At 41.4% G+C, this 18303-nt stretch overlaps 1 annotated feature.

Annotated features, from left to right (window-relative positions):
• Positions 2741 to 3241: an enhancer, noted in NCBI's record as "H3K4me1 hESC enhancer chr2:179931204-179931704 (GRCh37/hg19 assembly coordinates)". NCBI's record gives its function as "activates a minimal SCP1, AML or CMV promoter by ChIP-STARR-seq in naive H9 embryonic stem cells {active_cell/tissue: H9 hESC(naive)}" and the evidence as "EXISTENCE:reporter gene assay evidence [ECO:0000049][PMID:30033119]".

Raw genomic sequence — 18303 nt, forward strand, 5'->3', positions numbered from 1 at the left:
AGTTTCAGAAGGAATGGTACCAGTTCCTCCTTGTACCTCTGGTAGAATTTCGCTGTGAATCCATCTGGTCCTGGACTCTGTTTGTTGGTAAGCTACTGATTATTGCCACAATGTCAAAGTCTGTTATTGGTCTGTTCAGAGAGTCAACTTCTTCCTGGTTTAGTCTTGGGAGGGTGTATGTGTCAAGGAATTTATCCATTTCTTCTAGATTTTCTAGTTTATTTGCATAGAGGTGTTTGTAGTATTCTCTGATGGTAGTTTGTATTTCTTTGGGATTGGTGGTGATATCCCCTGTATCCTTTTTTATTGTGTCTATTTGATTCTTCTCTCTTTTCTTCTTTATTAGTCTTGCTAGTGGTCTATCAATTTTGTTGATCCTTTCAAAAAACCAGCTCCTGGATTCATTAATTTTTGAAGGGTTTTTTGTGTCTCTATTTCCTTCAGTTCTGCTCTGATTTTAGTTATTTCTTGCCTTCTGCTAGCTTTTGAATGTGTTTGCTCTTGCTTTTCTAGTTCTTTTAATTGTGATGTTAGAGTGTCAATTTTAGATCTTTCCTGCTTTCTCTTGTGGGCATTTAGTACTATAAATTTCCCTCTACACACCACTTTGAATGTGTCCCAGAGATTCTGGTATGTTGTGTCTTTGTTCTCGTTGGTTTCAAAGAACATCTTTATTTCTGCCTTCATTTCGTTATGTACCCAGTAGTCATTCAGGAGCAGGTTCTTCAGTTTCCATGTCGTTGAGCTGTTTTCAGTGAGATTCTTAATCCTGAGTTCTAGTTTGATTGCACTGTGGTCTGAGAGACAGTTTGTTATAATTTCTGTTCTTTTACATTTGCTAAGAGAGCTTTACTTCCAAGTATGTGATCAATTTTGGAACAGGTGTGGTGTGGTGCTGAAAAGAATGTATATTCTGTTGATTTGGGGTGGAGAGTTCTGTAGATGTCTATTAGGTCTGCTTGGTGCAGAGCTGAGTTCAATTCCTGGGTATCCTTGTTAACTTTCTGTCTTGTTGATCTGTCTAATGTTGACAGTGGGGTGTTAAAGTCTCCCATTATTATTGTGTGGGAGTCTAAGTCTCTTTGTAGGTCACTCAGGACTTGCTTTATGAATCTGGGTGCTCCTGTATTGGGTGCATATATATTTAGGATAGTTAGCTTTTCTTGTTGAATTGATCCCTTTACCATTAGGTAATGGCCTTCTTTGTCTCTTTAGATCTTTGTTGGTTTAAAGTCTGTTTTATTAGAGACTAGGATTGCAACCCCTGCCTTTTTTTGTTTTCCATTTGCTTGGTAGATCTTCCTCTATCCCTTTATTTTGAGCCTATGTGTGTCTCTGCACGTGAGATGGGTTTCCTGAATACAGCACACTGATGGGTCTTGACTCTTTATCCAATTTGCCAGTCTGTGTCTTTTAATTGGTGCATTTAGTCCATTTACATTTAAAGTTAATATTTTTATGTGTGAATTTGATCCTGTCATTATGATGTTAGCTGGTGATTTTGCTCGTTAGTTGATGCCGTTTCTTCCTAGCCTGGATGGTCTGTACAATTTGGCATGATTTTGCAGTGGCTGGTACCGGTTGTTCCTTTCCATGTTTAGTGCTTCCTTCAGGAGCTCTTTTAGGGCAGGCCTGGTGGTGACAAAATCTCTCAGCATTTGCTTGTCTGTAAAGTATTTTATTTCTCCTTCACTTATGAAGCTTAGTTTGGCTGGATATGAAATTCTGGGTTGAAAATTCTTTTCTTTAAGAATGTTGAATATTGGCCCCCACTCTCTTCTGGCTTGTAGAGTTTCTGCAGAGAGATCAGCTGTTAGTCTGGATGGGCTTCCCTTTGAGGGTAACCCGACCTTTCTCTCTGGCTGCCCTTAACATTTTTTCTTTCATTTCAACTTTGGTGAATCTGACAATTATTTGTCTTGGGGTTGCTCTTCTTGAGGAGTATCTTTGTGGCGTTCTCTGTATTTCCTGAATGTGAATCTTGGCCTGCCTTGCTAGGTGGGGGAAGTTCTCCTGGATAATATCCTGCAGAGTGTTTTCCAGCTTGGTTCCATTCTCCCCATCACTTTCAGGTACACCAATCAGATGTAGATTTGGTCTTTTCACATAGTCCCATATTTCTTGGAGGCTTTGTTCATTTCTTTTTATTCTTTTTTCTCTAAACTTCCCTTCTTGCTTCATTTCATTCATTTCATCTTTCATCACTGATACCATTTCTTCCAGTTGATTGCATCGGCTCCTGAGGCTTCTGCATTCTTCCTGTAGTTCTTGAACTTTGGCTTTCAGCTCCATCAGCTCCTTTAAGCACTTCTCTGTATTGGTTATTCTAGTTATACTTTCGTCTAAATTTTTTTCAAAGTTTTTAACTTCTTTGCCTTTGGTTTGAATTTCCTCCTGTAGCTCGGGGTAGTTTGATCATCTGAAGCCTTCTTCTCTCAACTCATCATTCTCCGTCCAGCTTTGTTCTGTTGCTGGTGAGGAACTGCATTCCTTTGGAGGAGGAGAGGCCCTCTGCTTTTTAGAGTTTCCAGTTTTTCTGCTCTGTTTCTTCCCCCTCTTTGTGGTTTTATCTACTTTTGGTCTTTGATGATGGTGATGTACAGATGGGTTTTTGGTGTGGATGTCCTTTCTGTTTGTTAGTTTTCCTTCTAACAGACAGGACCCTCAGCTGCAGGTCTGTTGGAGTTTGCTAGAGGTCCACTCCAGACCCTGTTTGCCTGGGTATCCACAGCGGTGGCTGCTGAACAGCGGATTTTCGTGAACTGTGAATGCTGCTGCCTGATCGTTCCTCTGGAATTTTTGTCTCAGAGGAGTACCCGGCCATGTGAGGTGTCAGTCTCCCCCTACTGGGGGTGCCTCCCAGTTAGGCTGCTCAGAGGTCAGGGGTCAGGGACCCACTGAGGAAGCAGTCTGCCCGTTCTCAGATCTCAAGCTGCGTGCTGGGAGAACCACTGCTCTCTTCAAAGCTGTCAGACAGGGACATTTAAGTCTGCAGAGGTTACTGTTGTCTTTTTGTTTGTCTGTGCCCTGCCCCCAGAGGTGGAGCCTACAGAGGCAGGCAGTCCTCCTTGAGCTGTGGTGGGCTCCACCCAGTTCGAGCTTCCAGGCTGCTTTGTTTACCTAAGCAAGCCTGGGCAATGGCGGGCGCCCCTCCCCCAGCCTTGCTGCCGACTTGCAGTGTGATCTCAGACTGCTGTGCTAGCAATCAGCGAGACTCCATGGGCATAGGACCCTCTAAGCCAGGTGCGGGATATAATCTCCTGGTGCGCGGTTTTTTAAGCCCGTTGGAAAAGCGCAGTATTAGGGTGGGAGTGAACCAATTTTCCAGGTGCTGTCTGTCACCCCTTTCTTTGACTAGGAAAGGGAACTCCCTGATCCCTTGTATTTCCTGGGTGAGGCAATGCCTCGCCCTGCTTTGGCTCACACACGGTGCACTGCACCCACTGTCCTGCGCCCACTCTCTGGCACTGCCTAGTGAGATGAACCCGGTACCTCAGATGGAAATGCAGAAATCACCCATCTTCTGCGTCACTAACGCTGGGAGCTGTAGACCGGAGCTGTTCCTATTCGGCCATCTTGGCTGCCTACCTACCGAGGTTCCTGACACTTCTTTCTTTAAAGCATAATTGTAATTCAAAATTTAATAATTAAATGCTTGTTGATATAGTTTGGATGTTTGTCCTCACCCACATCTCATATTGAAAGGTAATCCCCATTGTTGGAAGTGGAACCTTGTGGGAGGTGATTGGATCATAGGGGTGGCTTTCTTATGAATGGTTTAGCATCATCCATCTTGGTACGGTCCTCATGATAGTGAGTTCTTGCAAGATCTGCTCATTTAAAAGTTTGTGGCCCCTCCTCCCTTGCTCTCCTCCTCCTGCTTTTCCCATGTGACCTGCCTGCACCCCCTGCCTTCTGCCATCATTGGAAGCTTCCTGAGGCCTCCCAGAAGCAGATGCTGCTATGCTTCCTGTACAGCCTTCAAAACCATGAGTGAATTAAACCTCTTTTCTCATGAACTACTCAGTCTCAGGTATTTCTTTATAGCAATGTGAGAATGACTTAATATACTTGTATTATAAGCTTATATCATTTTCTCATTATTTTACTTTCATTATTATTATTTCTCAACTCTATTTTAAGCTCCTTCTGGAAAGGAGCCATGTCCTAACATTTTTTGGACCTTTGCAGATAACCTCATAGAGTTACCATAGAGATTAAGAGTTGCTTTACATAAAGTGCTTGGAAGAAGACTTGGCATTTGTTAAGTCCATATGTGGAACATGGTGCTAGGCATGGAATTGGTGCTTATAAACATTGGTCGACTGAATCACATGAGTCATATAGTAAAAGGATACAACTAATTAATATAACTCATTCATTCAGTATTTATTCATGAAGCCAACAGTTACTGAGCATTTGCTACATACCAGACACTTTGCATTCGTAATATAGCAGTGAGTAAAATGAAAAAATTCCTACCCTCAAGAAGCTGACATTTCAGTAAGAAAAGATAGACCATAAACAGTGAAATAAATAACCAAAATAAAAACACGCTGTCATAAAAGTTAAGAGAAAAACAACTGGTAGTGGTTTAAGTAGACTGAATCACAAAAGGTTACATTTAGAATTTGCCAGGGAAATCAGGGAATTCTATTAAAATATTTCTATTGGAATACAGAAATTAATGGGAATAATAAACGAATAGTGATTGCAACAACAATAAAAAGCAAACAAATTGCACAATATGACAAAGTTGATGGACTCTGAAGTCAGACTGCCTTAATCTCTCCATGTTTCAGTTTCCTCATTATAAACTGGGGATAATGGGAATGCCTACACCATATAATAAGTTGGGAAGATTAAATGAAATAGTACTTAAAAACACTAAAGATAATGCCTGGCACATAGATGATGGTCTGATAGGTATATATTATTCTTCAAAAGACGACAACATCATCTGTTAAGGGATTTCCTAAATCTAGTGGCTGCCACAAAATTTGAAATGAGTTTTTAAAATTAAGTTGAATTAAAACACAAGGTAGGCAATCTGAGTGGATTCAACATGTTATAAAGACATAAAATATGCATTACCAGGGAGTAAGTTATTTTACTGCAATCAGATGTAAAAATATTTCAGTGAGTTATCATTTCTAGAATACCTTCATCATTCACATTAGCCAGAATTTTCCCCAACTCATTCTTTATATCATGTAATGCTCCTCCTGGTACTTCTCACTTATTTCTTAGAATACAAGCATTCTCACTTAACTGCCATCCAAAAGTAAATGGAAGTTGCTCTTTCCCTTTAAAGATGCCTCCAATTTTAAACAGCAACTTATTCTTTCATGCATGCACTCATTTGTTCACTTATCAAGTATGATTAAATATGTACTCAGTGCCAGGCACCATTCTAGATGCCAGGCACGCAGTAATAAACAAAACAAAGTTCATCTACAGATGGAGCTTGCCTTCTGTGAGGGAGACATATCCAGTTAGAAAAGAAAGACCAGGTACAGTGGCTCACGCATGTAATCACAACCCCTTGGGAGGCCAAGGCAGGACAGATGCTTGAGGCCAGGAGTTTCAGACCAGCCTGGGCTACATAATGAGATCCCCATTTCTACCAAAAAAAAAAATTAAAAATTAGTGGGGCATGGTGGTGCATGCCTGTAGTCCCAGCTACTCCATAGTCTGGTGGAGGAGGATTGCTTGAGTCCAGAAGGTCAAGGCTGTGGTGAGTCAGGATCATGGCACTGCACTCTAGTCTGGGTGACAGATGAGACCTTATCTCACACACACACAAAAAAGGAAGAATATAAACAATAAAAATGTACATATATTTTATGTCAGGATGTAATAAGTATTATGAAGAAAAATCAGGCAGAGTAAGGTGGAGAGGGTGAACAGAGGAAGAGGGATGCAATTTTAGGAGGGCATCAGAAAAAGTCTCTTTAACAAATGGGATTTGAGTAGAAACCCTGGATTAAGTGAAAATGGCAAGACCTGCACAGGTATCTTGGGGAAGAACATTCCAGGCAACTGAGGCATGTTTGTTACATTTGAAAAGCATCCAGTAAGTTGTTGTGGCTGGAGCTAATTGAGGACAGAGAGAAGGACATAGTGGTAGAACATGAGATATGACGGGAGGGGAATACTAGTTCATCTAGGGCCATCTAGGCAGGTGCCTCTAGGTCCTGGTTTGCTTGGGAACAACTCTGGTTTACACCTGTTGCCCTGGAGTGATTGCTCCTAAGGCTCTTTTCATTTTCAGAGGAATCCCATTTGTATGATGAATTATATGATAATCTTACTGTTAAGCCTAGGTGAGGACTTTGGATTTAATTCTGAGATAGAAAAGTACTGCAGGCTTTACATCCAAGAAATGACATCATTTGACTTAACATTGTTAAAAACTATTTGTGAAGAAGAGACTGGAGCAGGAAGTAGGATGAATTCCATAGCACCTAATCCACAAATGCCAACACAGTGCTGCTTTGGGATGTTTCTTTATGGACATTTAGGTTTTCCTTAAGAAGAATGACATGTCCAAAATATCATGACTCCTATTGGCCATTGTATTCTATGTATTGACTTTCATAGATTTCCTTATAATTGAAAATGTTTAATGACATATGAATCCTCAGCTTCTCTATAAGAACTGGTAGAATAATTATAAACAAGCAACTTTTATATCTAGCAAGTTTCCCTTCTATAAGTGGTAAAGAAAACAAAACAAAACTTGGGCAAATTTAAAGAATACTTAACTTGGTCAAAAGACCAAGATGGCTGTATTTACTCTAGTTTTAACCAACGGTTTGCCAAAAATGATATCCTAGGTAATATCAATACTTGTTAAATTACTATGGACATTTTTCTTGAATAGTCTCTAGTTAGAGTTATGCATGATCTAGAAAACTGTCAAATATAAGTGTAGACTAAAGTTAAAATAAATGGTAAACATATGGTTATTATTGATTTGAGCAAACTCCATTCTAAATGGAAAAGATGTATACAATAAGCCAGAAAACATCTTTTAAAAATTGCTGAAAAGCTTTCATGTGCAAAATTTATTTTTTTTAAAGTTCAAGTCACCTGCCTTCCTACCTGTGTTGAGCTGTGTACTTAAGCTCCAACATAGCAGGGGTGTCTGTTATAATTCCTCTTCACACAAAGAAGTGTGCCAAGAGTTAGTCTTTGGGAGGCAGGGAGATTATATGTAATGATAGAAGGAGTCTTAGTCAACTTGATTTTGGAAAACTGCATTTCTTTTGTTTTTCCCCTCTGTGGCCAAATTCCAGTCGGGGCTGAGAATTTTCCATCTCAGAGTAGTCCCCAGGGAGACCTAGACAGCAGCAGTCATTCCAGTGGCTTGGGAAGATAGCAGTGACACTGAGGCTAAGCCACCACCTCCTCAAGCAGCAATAATTCTTGCTAAGGAAGAAATAATGATGTAATATGAAACCCATGGACATCAAAATAAGATAGCCTAAATGGCATGGTTATCATCCATGGATGGATTCGAAGCAGGAAGTATGTAAAAAGTTAAAAACAGAAAGTTTTTAAAATATAAGATTTTATTAAGAAACACTAAAACTTGAAGAAAGTAATGTATATATGTGTGTATAGATACATAAGTTATATAGAGACTGTTTTAAGTAATGTTATAATGGGCTGTCTCCGTTGTACAGTGGTGATGTTTGATGATTCACTTATAGTTTATTGGCATCAGTTTAGTGAAAAACGCATGTTTTAATATGCTTTAGTAAATCAGTTTTATACAGTTTAACTGAGTTTTTAAAAATCTGGCTGAGTGCAGTCTCATGCCTGTAATCCCAGCACCTTGGAAGGCCGAGGCAGGTAGATCACTTGAAGTCAGGAGTTCGAGACCAGCCTGGCTAACATGGTGAAACCCTGTCTCTACTAAAAGTACAAAAATTAGCCAGGCATGGTGGCACATGCCTGTAGTCCCAGCTACTCAGAAGGCTGAGGCACAAAAATCACTTGAATCTAGGAGTTGGAGACTTCAGTGAGCTGAGATCTCGCCACTGCACTCCAGCCTGGGCAACAGAATGAGACACTGTCTCAAAAAAAAAAAAAAAAAAAATCTATCTATCTATCTATCTATCTATCTATCTATCTATCTATATAAATTATATAGTTTTTCAGATCTGCATCTTCATTCCAAGCAAAAACACCTCACACCAGCATTCACATAGCTATCACTTGCTATGGGAATCTTTTCTGTTATTACATCACTCACCTCGGTCATAGAACCCACATGAAAGGCAATAATTACTGAGACTGTCCGGAAGGAAAAAGAAGTTAGAAACACCTGCAGGAAAAAAGATATTTATATACTCAGGCTTTTAGGAAAAACAGGAAACAAGATGAGAGAAACTCACAGAAACCTGGAAATCCAAAATGGAAACAAAAGTAGCAGATCATCTGCACCCCACCCCACACCACCCTCGCCACTCCAAGCAAACCAGTTTCCTATCACAAATTCCACCCTCAGAGGAAGGACTTCAAAAGCAAAGTCAGCCTGTATTATGGAAAGTTTGGATTCTGTTTCTGGCACATCCCTGCTTTGAGCTCCTGCTAGCAGGGAGAGCCAATGGCCTCGCTACCAATGTTTGCTGAGCGCCCACTGTATACAAGGCCCGGGTTCATCCAGTCATTTTAGGTTTGTAAAACATGTAGCCATTTAACCTAGTTGAGCCCCTCAACAATGCTGTACTCTGGGCTTGTATTCTAGACTATTAGCTCTGCCATATAAGTTGAAAAGGTGAGGCAAGAGAAGTAAAGTGACTTATCTAAGTTCATGAAGCCAGTAAGTCGAGACCCCAGCCACTCCCCTCTTAGTTTCTTGCTCCAGTCTCACAGGGAGTAAGTTCTACTATCCTAATGCTATATCCAAATTTGCACAGATGTCCAGACATACTCATCACTCAGCTAATCTACACAGTTGAACACCTGCAACAGAGTCATTTGACTCAGAGCACTGCACCGAGATCCCTTAAAAGATAACAAAAGAAGTACAAAACTGTCTCTGTTTTCAGCGACCCCTGTACCCTACCCCCACAATGGGGAAGACAAAATACACACATGAAGCACTTTGAAAGGAAGATGTGATGACAACATCTAGGAAATATACCAAACTGAAATGCCTTAGAAATGAGAAGAAGCCTCTTAAATAATTCCCCAAATCAATGTGAGCAAGGTTAATACAAGAACAAGTTTTATACATGGATTTAAATCAATCATTATAATAAAACTGCTCCGGGTTTGTGTCATAGTTCTTCTTCTTACCTTTAAAATCACTTTTGCTACCTGGCTTGATAAGGACATGGACAAGATGTGAAGGTAATATGGTTTGGTTCTGTGTCCCTACCCAAATCTCATCTCGAATTGTAATCTCCATGTGTCTAGGGAGGGACCTGGTGGGAGGTGACTAGATCAGGGGGGCAGTTTCCCCCATGCTGTTCTCATGATAGTGAGCAAGTTTTCACTCACTATCTGATGATGATATCTGATAGTTTTATAAGTGTTTGACAGTTCCTCCTTCACACGCTTTCTCTCTCCTGCTGTGTTGTGAAGAAGGTGACTGCTTCCCCTTCCACTATGATTGCAAGTTTCCTGTGGCCCACCAAGCCATGCAGAACTGTGAGTCAATTAAGCCTCTTTCCTTTATAAATTACCCAGTCTCAGGCAGTTCTTTACAGCAGTGTGAAAACAGACTAATACAGAAAGTTGGTACCAGGAGTGGTACTAGAGGAACAGAATTTTAAGGATGGATCTCTTTAGTCGGTTTTGGGGTTTCTGGAGTTGGCTGCTTAATCTGATTAGAGACAAGAGTGCTAAGGACTGTACTTCTAATAGTATGGAGAACACTGATAGTCCTTGGCATGAACAGTTATGCAAAATAAATGCATTTGATACTCCTGATTCACTCCTCTTGAGAAACAAGGAGTTCAGTGACCCTATACATAATACTTTTGACTGTATGTGGAGAAACAAGGAATGTAATGAAGTTGGTTGGTTGGTTGCTCCTAAGCTTGCATAACAAAGTGATGAAAGAAAAAAGGATAAACTCAGGGATTCCAACTCCTGCCTCCAGAAGCACATATTTAGGCGCAAGTCTTCTAAGATTGCCCTGAGTGAGAGTCTTACCCCCTGTAGACAAAGGGCTGAAATTGCAGAAAATCAAACATAAGCCTTATGATGTGAATGGCTGGGACCTACAATGGAAGGCGCACACACAGACTCGCCAAGTGTCTGCTGTTAAAGTGAGGGCATTGATTGGAAAAGAATGGAACCCTGCAACTTGGATGTGTGGGAGAACACTGATGAAGTTGGCTTGCTTAGTCTTCTATCTTTCTGTTGTGCTGGATGCTTCCTGTCCTTGATCACTGGACTCCAAGTTCTTGGGCCTTTGGGCTCTTTGACTTACACCAATGATTTGTCAGGGGCTCTTGGGCCTTCAGCCACAGACTGAAGGCCACACTGTCAGTATCCCTACTTTTGAGGCTTTAAGACTCATACTGAACCACTGCTGGCTTCTTTGCTCCTCAGCTTGCGGACAGCCTATCATGGGACTTTATCTTGAGACTGTGTGTGTCAATTCTCCTTAATAAACTCCCTCTCATATATACATATATCCTATAATAGTTCTGTCCCTCTGGAGAACTCTGACTAATACAGATTTTGGTACCACTAGTGGGTGATTTGGCTGTTCTCAAAAGTCCTTCAAAAGTCACAGGTGGATTTGGCTGAGCAGACCAAACATGCCAGGTGAAACAGGTGGTGGAACATGTGAAAAAATAATACAGTTAAACAGGAAATTTGAGTTATTGCTGTAACGGGGGACCCCTCTCCCCACTGGCATCCATAGACTGGCTAGGCTTAAGGACATCTGGGGTATAGCACTATTTATACAGTTTTCTACATTTCTTCCTTCATGGTTGTTAAGAGGGCTGGGGAGGTGCAATGGCTGAGACCAAGGCACATTTCAATCAAACTCAATAAGGAATTCAAACTCAGTTCTTTAAAAGCAAAACCTTGAGATCACAGGACTGAAAGAAAGCTCTTTAGTTCAGAATCTACCCTCCAGGATAATGAATAATCTGTATTTTATAAACTTCTCCACAGAATTCCATCTCATGACTACCTTTGGATGTACAAATTTTACACAATAAAATAAATAGAAAAAAAAAGAGTTCAAGGAGAATTTCACGGTAGAGGAGGTCAATTCTTGTGCCCTCCTGGTCTCCTCTTCCAGGGCACTCACCACCTGCCATGGCCTCTGCCCTCTGTCCCATCACTCCTGCCCTCACCTGGTCACGGGCCAGACCTCACTTGAGGGGTTGGCACATGGCCTAATGTGTTAATTAATGCTGATTTAAAGTCTGGTCTGTTCTACATGATGTTGCATTTAAACGGGATTAGCAGCAAGAAGAAAGAGAGTTTTTACAAGGGGAGAGTAGACCCTCAATAAGCAAACTTGTAAGCCTGGTCCACTCTCTCATCTCCTATCATCATACTCATATCTCTTTTTAAAAAGCTCCCTAAAGGGATCAAACTGGCTAAAAACAAAAAACAGCAAAAATTTGCATGGCATTTTATTTTATTCATTTATTTTATTCATGTTTCATTTTTTACTTATGGGTACATAGAAGGTATATATATTTATGGGACATATGAGTTTATTTTAATTTAAAATTTTTGTGGGTACATAGTAGGCACATTTATTAGCAAGGTACATGTTTTGATACAGGCATGCAATGCCTAACAATCACATAATGGAAGATGGGGTATCCATCCTTTTAAGCATTTATCTTTTGTGTTATAAACAATCACATTGAGTGGTGGGCAAGATGGCAGAATAGAAACAGCTCTGGTCTGCAGCTGCCAGTGAGATCAATGCAGAAGGTGGGTTATTTCTGCATTTCCATCTGAGGTACCTAGCTCATCTCCCTGGGACTGGTTAGACAGCGGATGCAGCCCACAGAGGGTGAGCCAAAGCAGCGTGGGGCATCACCTCACCCAAGAAGCACAAGGGGTCCAGAAACTCCATCCTCTAGCTAAAGGAAGCTGTGAGGGACTGTGCCATGAGGGATGGTACATTCAGCCCAGATACTATGCTTTACCCATGGTCTTTGCAACCCACAGACCAGGAGATTCCCTTGGGTGCCTACACCACCAGGGCCTTGGGTTTCAAGCACATAACTGGGCATCCATTTGGGCAGACACTGAGCTAGCTGCAGGAGTTTTTTTTCTTTATACCCCAGTGGTGCCTGGAATGCCAGCAAGACAGAACTGTTCATTCCTCTGGAAAGGGGGCTGAAGCCAGGGAGCCAAGTGGTATATCTCAGCAGATCCCATGCCCATGGAGCCCAGCAGGATAAGATCTACTGGTTTGAAATTCTCCCTACAAGCACAGCAGTCTGAAGTTGATCTAGGATGCTCGAGCTTGGTGGGGGGAAAGGCCTCATACATTACTGAGGCTTGAGTAGGCGGTTTTTCCCTTACAGTGTAAACAGACCTGCTGGGAAGTTTGAACTGGGGGGAGCCCACCGCAGCTCGGCAAAGCTGCTGTAGCCAGACTGCCTCTCTAGATTCCTCCTCTCTGGGCAGGGCATCTCTGAGAGAAAGGCAGCAGCCCCAGTCAGGGGCTTATAGATAAAACTCCCATCTCCCTGGGACAGAGCACCTGGGGGAAAGGGTAACTGTGGGCACAGCTTCAGCAAACTTAAAAGTTCCTGCCTGCTGGCTCTGAAAACAGCAGCAGATCTCCCAGCACAGTGTTTGAGCTCTGCTAAGGAACAGACTGCCTCCTCAAGTGGGTCCTTGACCCCCTTGCCTCCTGACTGGGAGACACCTCTCAGCAGGGGCCAACAGACATTTCATATAGGAGAGCTCTGGCTGGCATCTGGCGGGTGCCCCTCTGGGAAGAAGCTTCCAGAGGAAGGAAGAGGCAGCAATCTTTGCTGTTTTGCAGCCTCCGCTAGTGATACACAGGCAAATAGGGTCTGGAGTGGATGTCTAGCAAACTCCAGCAGATCTGCAGCAGAGAGGTCTGACTGTTACAAGGAAAATTAACAAACATAAAGGAATAGCATCAACATCAACAAAAAGGACATCCACACAAAAACCCCATCTGAAAGTTACCAACATGAAAGACCAAAGGTAGATAAATCCATGAAGATGAGGAAAAAACAGTGCAGAAAGGCTGAAAATTCCAAAATCCAGAATTCCTCTTCTCTTCCAAAGGATCACAACTGCTCACCAGCAGTGGAACAAAACTGGACACAGAATGAGTTTGATGAATTGACAGAAGTAGGCTTCAGAAGATGGGTAATAACAAACTCCTCTGAGCTAAAGGGGCATGTTCTAACCCAATGCAAGGAAGCTAAGAACCTTGAAAAAAGGTTAGATGAATTGCAAACTGGAATAACCAGTTTAGAGAAGAACATAAATGACCTGATGGAGCTCAAAAACACAGCATGAGAACTTCATGAAGCATACACAGGTATCAATACCCAAATTGATCAAGTGGAAGGAAGTATATCAGAGATTGAAGACCAACTTAATGAAATAAAGCGTGAAAACAAGATTAGAGAAAAAGGACTGAACAAAGCCCTCAAGAAATATGAGACTATGTGAAAAGACCAAACCTACGTTTGACTGGTATACCTGAAAGTGACAGGGAGAATGGAACCAAGTTGGAAAACACGCTTCAGGATATAATCCAGGAGAACTTCCCCAACCTAGCAAGACAGACCAACATTCAAATTCAGGCAATACAGAGAACAGCACAAAGGTACTCCTTGAGAAGAGCAATCCCAAGACACATATCATCAGATCCACCAAGGTTGAAATGAAGGAAAAAATGTTAAGGGCAGCCAGAGAGAAAGGTTGGGTAACCAACAAAAGGAAGCCCATCAGACCAACAGCGGGTCTCTCTGCAGAAACTCTACAAGGCAGAGGAGAGTGGCGGCCAATATTCAACATTCTTAAAGAACAGAATTTCTCAACCCAGAATTTTATATCCAGCCAAACTAAGCTTCATAAGTGAAGGAGAAATAAAATCCTTTACAGACAAGCAAATGCTGAGAGATTTTGTCACCACCAGGCCTCTGTTACAAAAGCTCCTGAAGGAAGCACTAAACATGGAAAGGAACAACTGGTACCAGCCACTGCAAATTGTAAAGAACGCCCGCCGACACTATGAAGAAACTGCATCAACTAACAGGCAAAACAACCAGCTAGCATCATAATGACAGGATCAAATTCACACATAACAATATTAACCTTAAATGTAAATGGGCTAAATGCACCAATTAAAAGACACAGACTGGCAAATTGGATACAGAGTCAAGACCCATTAGAGTCCTGTATTCAGGAGACCCATCTGATGTGCAAAAACACAAATAGGTTCAAAATAGACTGATGGAGGAATATTTACCAAGCAAATGGAAAGCAAAAAAGCAGGGATTGGGCTGGGTGCTGTGGCTCATGCCTGTAATCCCAGCACTTTGGGAGGCCGAGGCGGGCAGATGACGAGGTTAGGAGATCGAGACCATCCTGGCTAAGACAATGAAACCCTGTCTCTACTAAAAATACAAAAAAATTAGCCGGGCATGGTGGCAGGCGCCTGTAGTCCCAGCTACTCAAGAGGCTGAGGCAGGAGAATGGCATGAACCTGGGAGGTGGAGCTTGCAGTGAGCCAAGATTGTGCCACTGCACTCCAGCCTGGGTGACAGAGCAAGACTCCATCTCAAAAGGAAAAAAAAAAAAAAGCAGGGATTGCAATCCTAGTCTCTGAAAAAACAGACTTTAAACAAACAAAGATAAAAAGAGACAAAGAAGGGCATTATATAATGGTAAAGGGGTCAATGCAACAAGAAGAGCTAACTATCCTAAATATATATGCATCCAAAACAGGAGAAGCCAGATTCATAAAGCAAGTCCTTAGAGACCTACAAAGAGACTTAGAATCCCACACAATAATAGTGGGAGACTTTAACACCCCACTGTCAATATTAGCCTGATCAACGAGACAGAAAATTAACAAGCATATTCAGGAGTTGAACTCAGCTCTGGACCAAGCAGACCTAATAGACTTCTACAGAAATCTCTACCCCAGTTCAACAGAATATACATTCTTCTCAGCACCACATCACACTTATTCTAAAATTGACCACATAATTGGAAGTAAAACACTCCTCAGCAAATGCAAAAGAACAGAAATCATAACAAATAGCCTCTCAGACCACAGGGCAATCAAATTAGAATTCAGGATTAAGAAATGCACTCAAAACCACACAACTACATGGAAAGTCAACAACCTGCTCCTGAATGACTACTGGGTAAATAACAACATTAAAGCAAAAATAAATAAGTTCTTTGAAATCAATGAGACCAAAGACACAACATACCAGAATCTCTGGGACACAGCTAAAGCAGTGTTTAGAGGGAAATTTATAGCACTAAATACCCACAGGAGAAAGTGGGGAAGATCTAAAATTGATACCCTAACATCACAATTAAAAGAACTAGAGGCCGGGCATGGTGGCTCACACCTGTAATCCCAACACTTTGGGAGGCCAAGGCAGGTGGATCACTAGGTCAAGAGATCGAGACCATCCTGGCTAACATGGTGAAACCGCATCTCTACTAAAAATACAAAAAATCAGCCCAGCGTGGTGGTGGGTGCCTGTAGTCCCAGCTACTCAGGAGGCTGAGACAGGAGAAAGGCATGAACCTGGGAGGCAGAACTTGCAGTGAGCCATGATTGTGCCACTGTATTCCAGCCTGGGCGACAGTGAGAGACTCCGTCTTAAAAAAAACAACACAAAACAAAAACTAGAGAAGCAAGAACAAACAAATTCAAAATCTAGCAGAAGACAAGAAATAACTAAGATCAGAGAAGAACTAAAGGAGATAGAGACACAAAAAGCCCTTCAAAAAATCAATAAATCCAGGAGCTGGTTGTTTGAAAAGATTAACAAAATGGATAGACTGCTAACCAGATTAAGAAGGAAAGAGAGAAGAATCAAATAGACACAATAAACACCACTGATCCTACAGAAATACAAACTACCATCAGCGAATACTATAAACACCTCTATGCAAATAAACTAGAAAATCTAGAAGAAATGGATAAATTCCTGGACATATACACCCTCCCAAGACTAAACCGGGAAGAAGTTGAATTCCTGAATAGACCAATAACAAGTTCTGGAATTGAGGCAGTCATTACTAGCCTACCAACCAAAAAAAGCCCAGGACCAGATGGATTCACAGCCAAATTCTACCACAGGTACAAAGAGGAGTTGGTACCATTCCTTCTGAAATTATTCCAAACAATAGAAAAAGAGGGACTCCTCCCTAAATCATTTTATAAGGCCAGCATCACCCTGATATGAAAACCTGGCAGAGACATGACAGAAAAAGAAAATTTCAGGCCAATATCCCTAATGAACATTGATGAAAAAATCCTCAGTAAAATACTGGCAAACCAAATCCAGCAGCACATCCAAAATCTTATCCACCATGATCAAGTCAGCTTCACCCCTGGGATGCAAGGGTGGTTCAACATACTCAAGGTGGAGTAAAGACTTAAACATAAGACCTAAAACCATAAAAACCCTAGAAGAAAACCTAGGCAATACCATTCAGGACATAGGCACGGGCAAAGACTTGATCACTAAAACAACAAAAGCAATGGCAACAAAAGCCAAAATTGACAAATGGGATCTAATTAAACTAAAGAGCTTCTGCACAGCAAAAGAAACTATCATCGGAGTGAACAGGCAACATACAGAATGGGAAAAATATTGCAGTCTATCCATCGGACAAAGGACTGATATCCAGAATCTACAAAGAACTTAAACAAATTTACAAGAAAAATACAAACAACCCCATCAACCCCATATCCTTTTTGGACAAAGGATATCAATAGGCACTTCTCAAAAGAAGACACTTATGCAGCCAACAAACATATAAAAAAAAGCTCATCCTCACTGGTCATTAGAGAAATTCAGTTCAAAACCACAATTAGATACCATCTCATGCCAGTTAGAATGATGATCATTAAAAAGCCAGGAAACAACAGATGCTTGAGAGGATGTGGGGAAATAGGAACAATTTTACTCTGTTGGTGGGAGTGTAAATTAGCTCAACTATTGTGGAAGACAGTGTGGTGATTCCTCAAGGATCTAGAATGAGAAATACCATTTGACCCAGCAATCCCATTACTGGGTATATACCCAAAGGATTATAAATTATTCTACTATAAAGACACATGCACACGTATGTTTATTGCAGCACTGTTCACAATAGCAAGGACTTGGAACCAACCAAAATGTCCATCAATAATAGACTGGATAAAGAAAATGTGGCACATATACACCATGGAATACTATGCAGCAATAAAAAAGGATGAGTTCATGTCCTTTGCGGGGAAATGGATGAATCTGGAAACCATCATTCTCAGCAAACTAACACAGGAACAGAAAACCAAACACCGCATGTTCTCACTCATAAGTGGGAGTTGAACAATGAGAACACATGGACACAGGGAGGGGAACATCACACACCAGGGCCTGTCGGGGGGTGGGGGGCTAGGGGAGGGATAGCATTAGGAAAAATACCAAATGTAGATGATGGGTTGATGGGTGCAGCAATTCACCATGGCACGTGTATACCTATGTAACAAACCTGCACATTCTGCACATGTACCCCAGAACTTAAAGTATAATAAAAAAATTAATTATATTATTTTAGTTATTTTTAAATGTAAAACTAAATTATTATCGACTATAGTTACCCTATTGTGCTATCAAATACTAGGCCTTATTCATTTACTCTAACTATTTTTTTGTATTGATTAACCATCCTCATGTCTTAAACCCCCACCCCCCCACTGCCATTCCTAGCCTCTGGTAACCATCTGTATTAGCCTGTTCTCACAATGCTAATAAGGACATACTCAAGACTGGGTAATGTATAAAGGAAAGAGGTTTAATTGACTCACAATTCAGCATGGCTGGGGAAGCCTCAGAAAACTTACAATCATGGCGGAAGGGGAAGCAAACACATCCTTCTTCACGTGGCAGCAGCAAGAAGTGCTGAGCAAAGGGGGAAAAGCCCCTTCTAAAACCAAGAAATCTTGTGGGAACTCACTCACTATCACAAGAACAGCAGCATGGAGGTAACCAACCCCATGATTCAATTACCTCCCCCTGTGTCCCTCCCATGACATGTGGGGACTATGGGAACTATAATTCAAAATAAGAT

This window comes from Homo sapiens, chromosome 2, assembly GCF_000001405.40.
Source record: "Homo sapiens chromosome 2, GRCh38.p14 Primary Assembly".
Taxonomy (NCBI): Eukaryota; Metazoa; Chordata; class Mammalia; order Primates; family Hominidae; genus Homo; species Homo sapiens.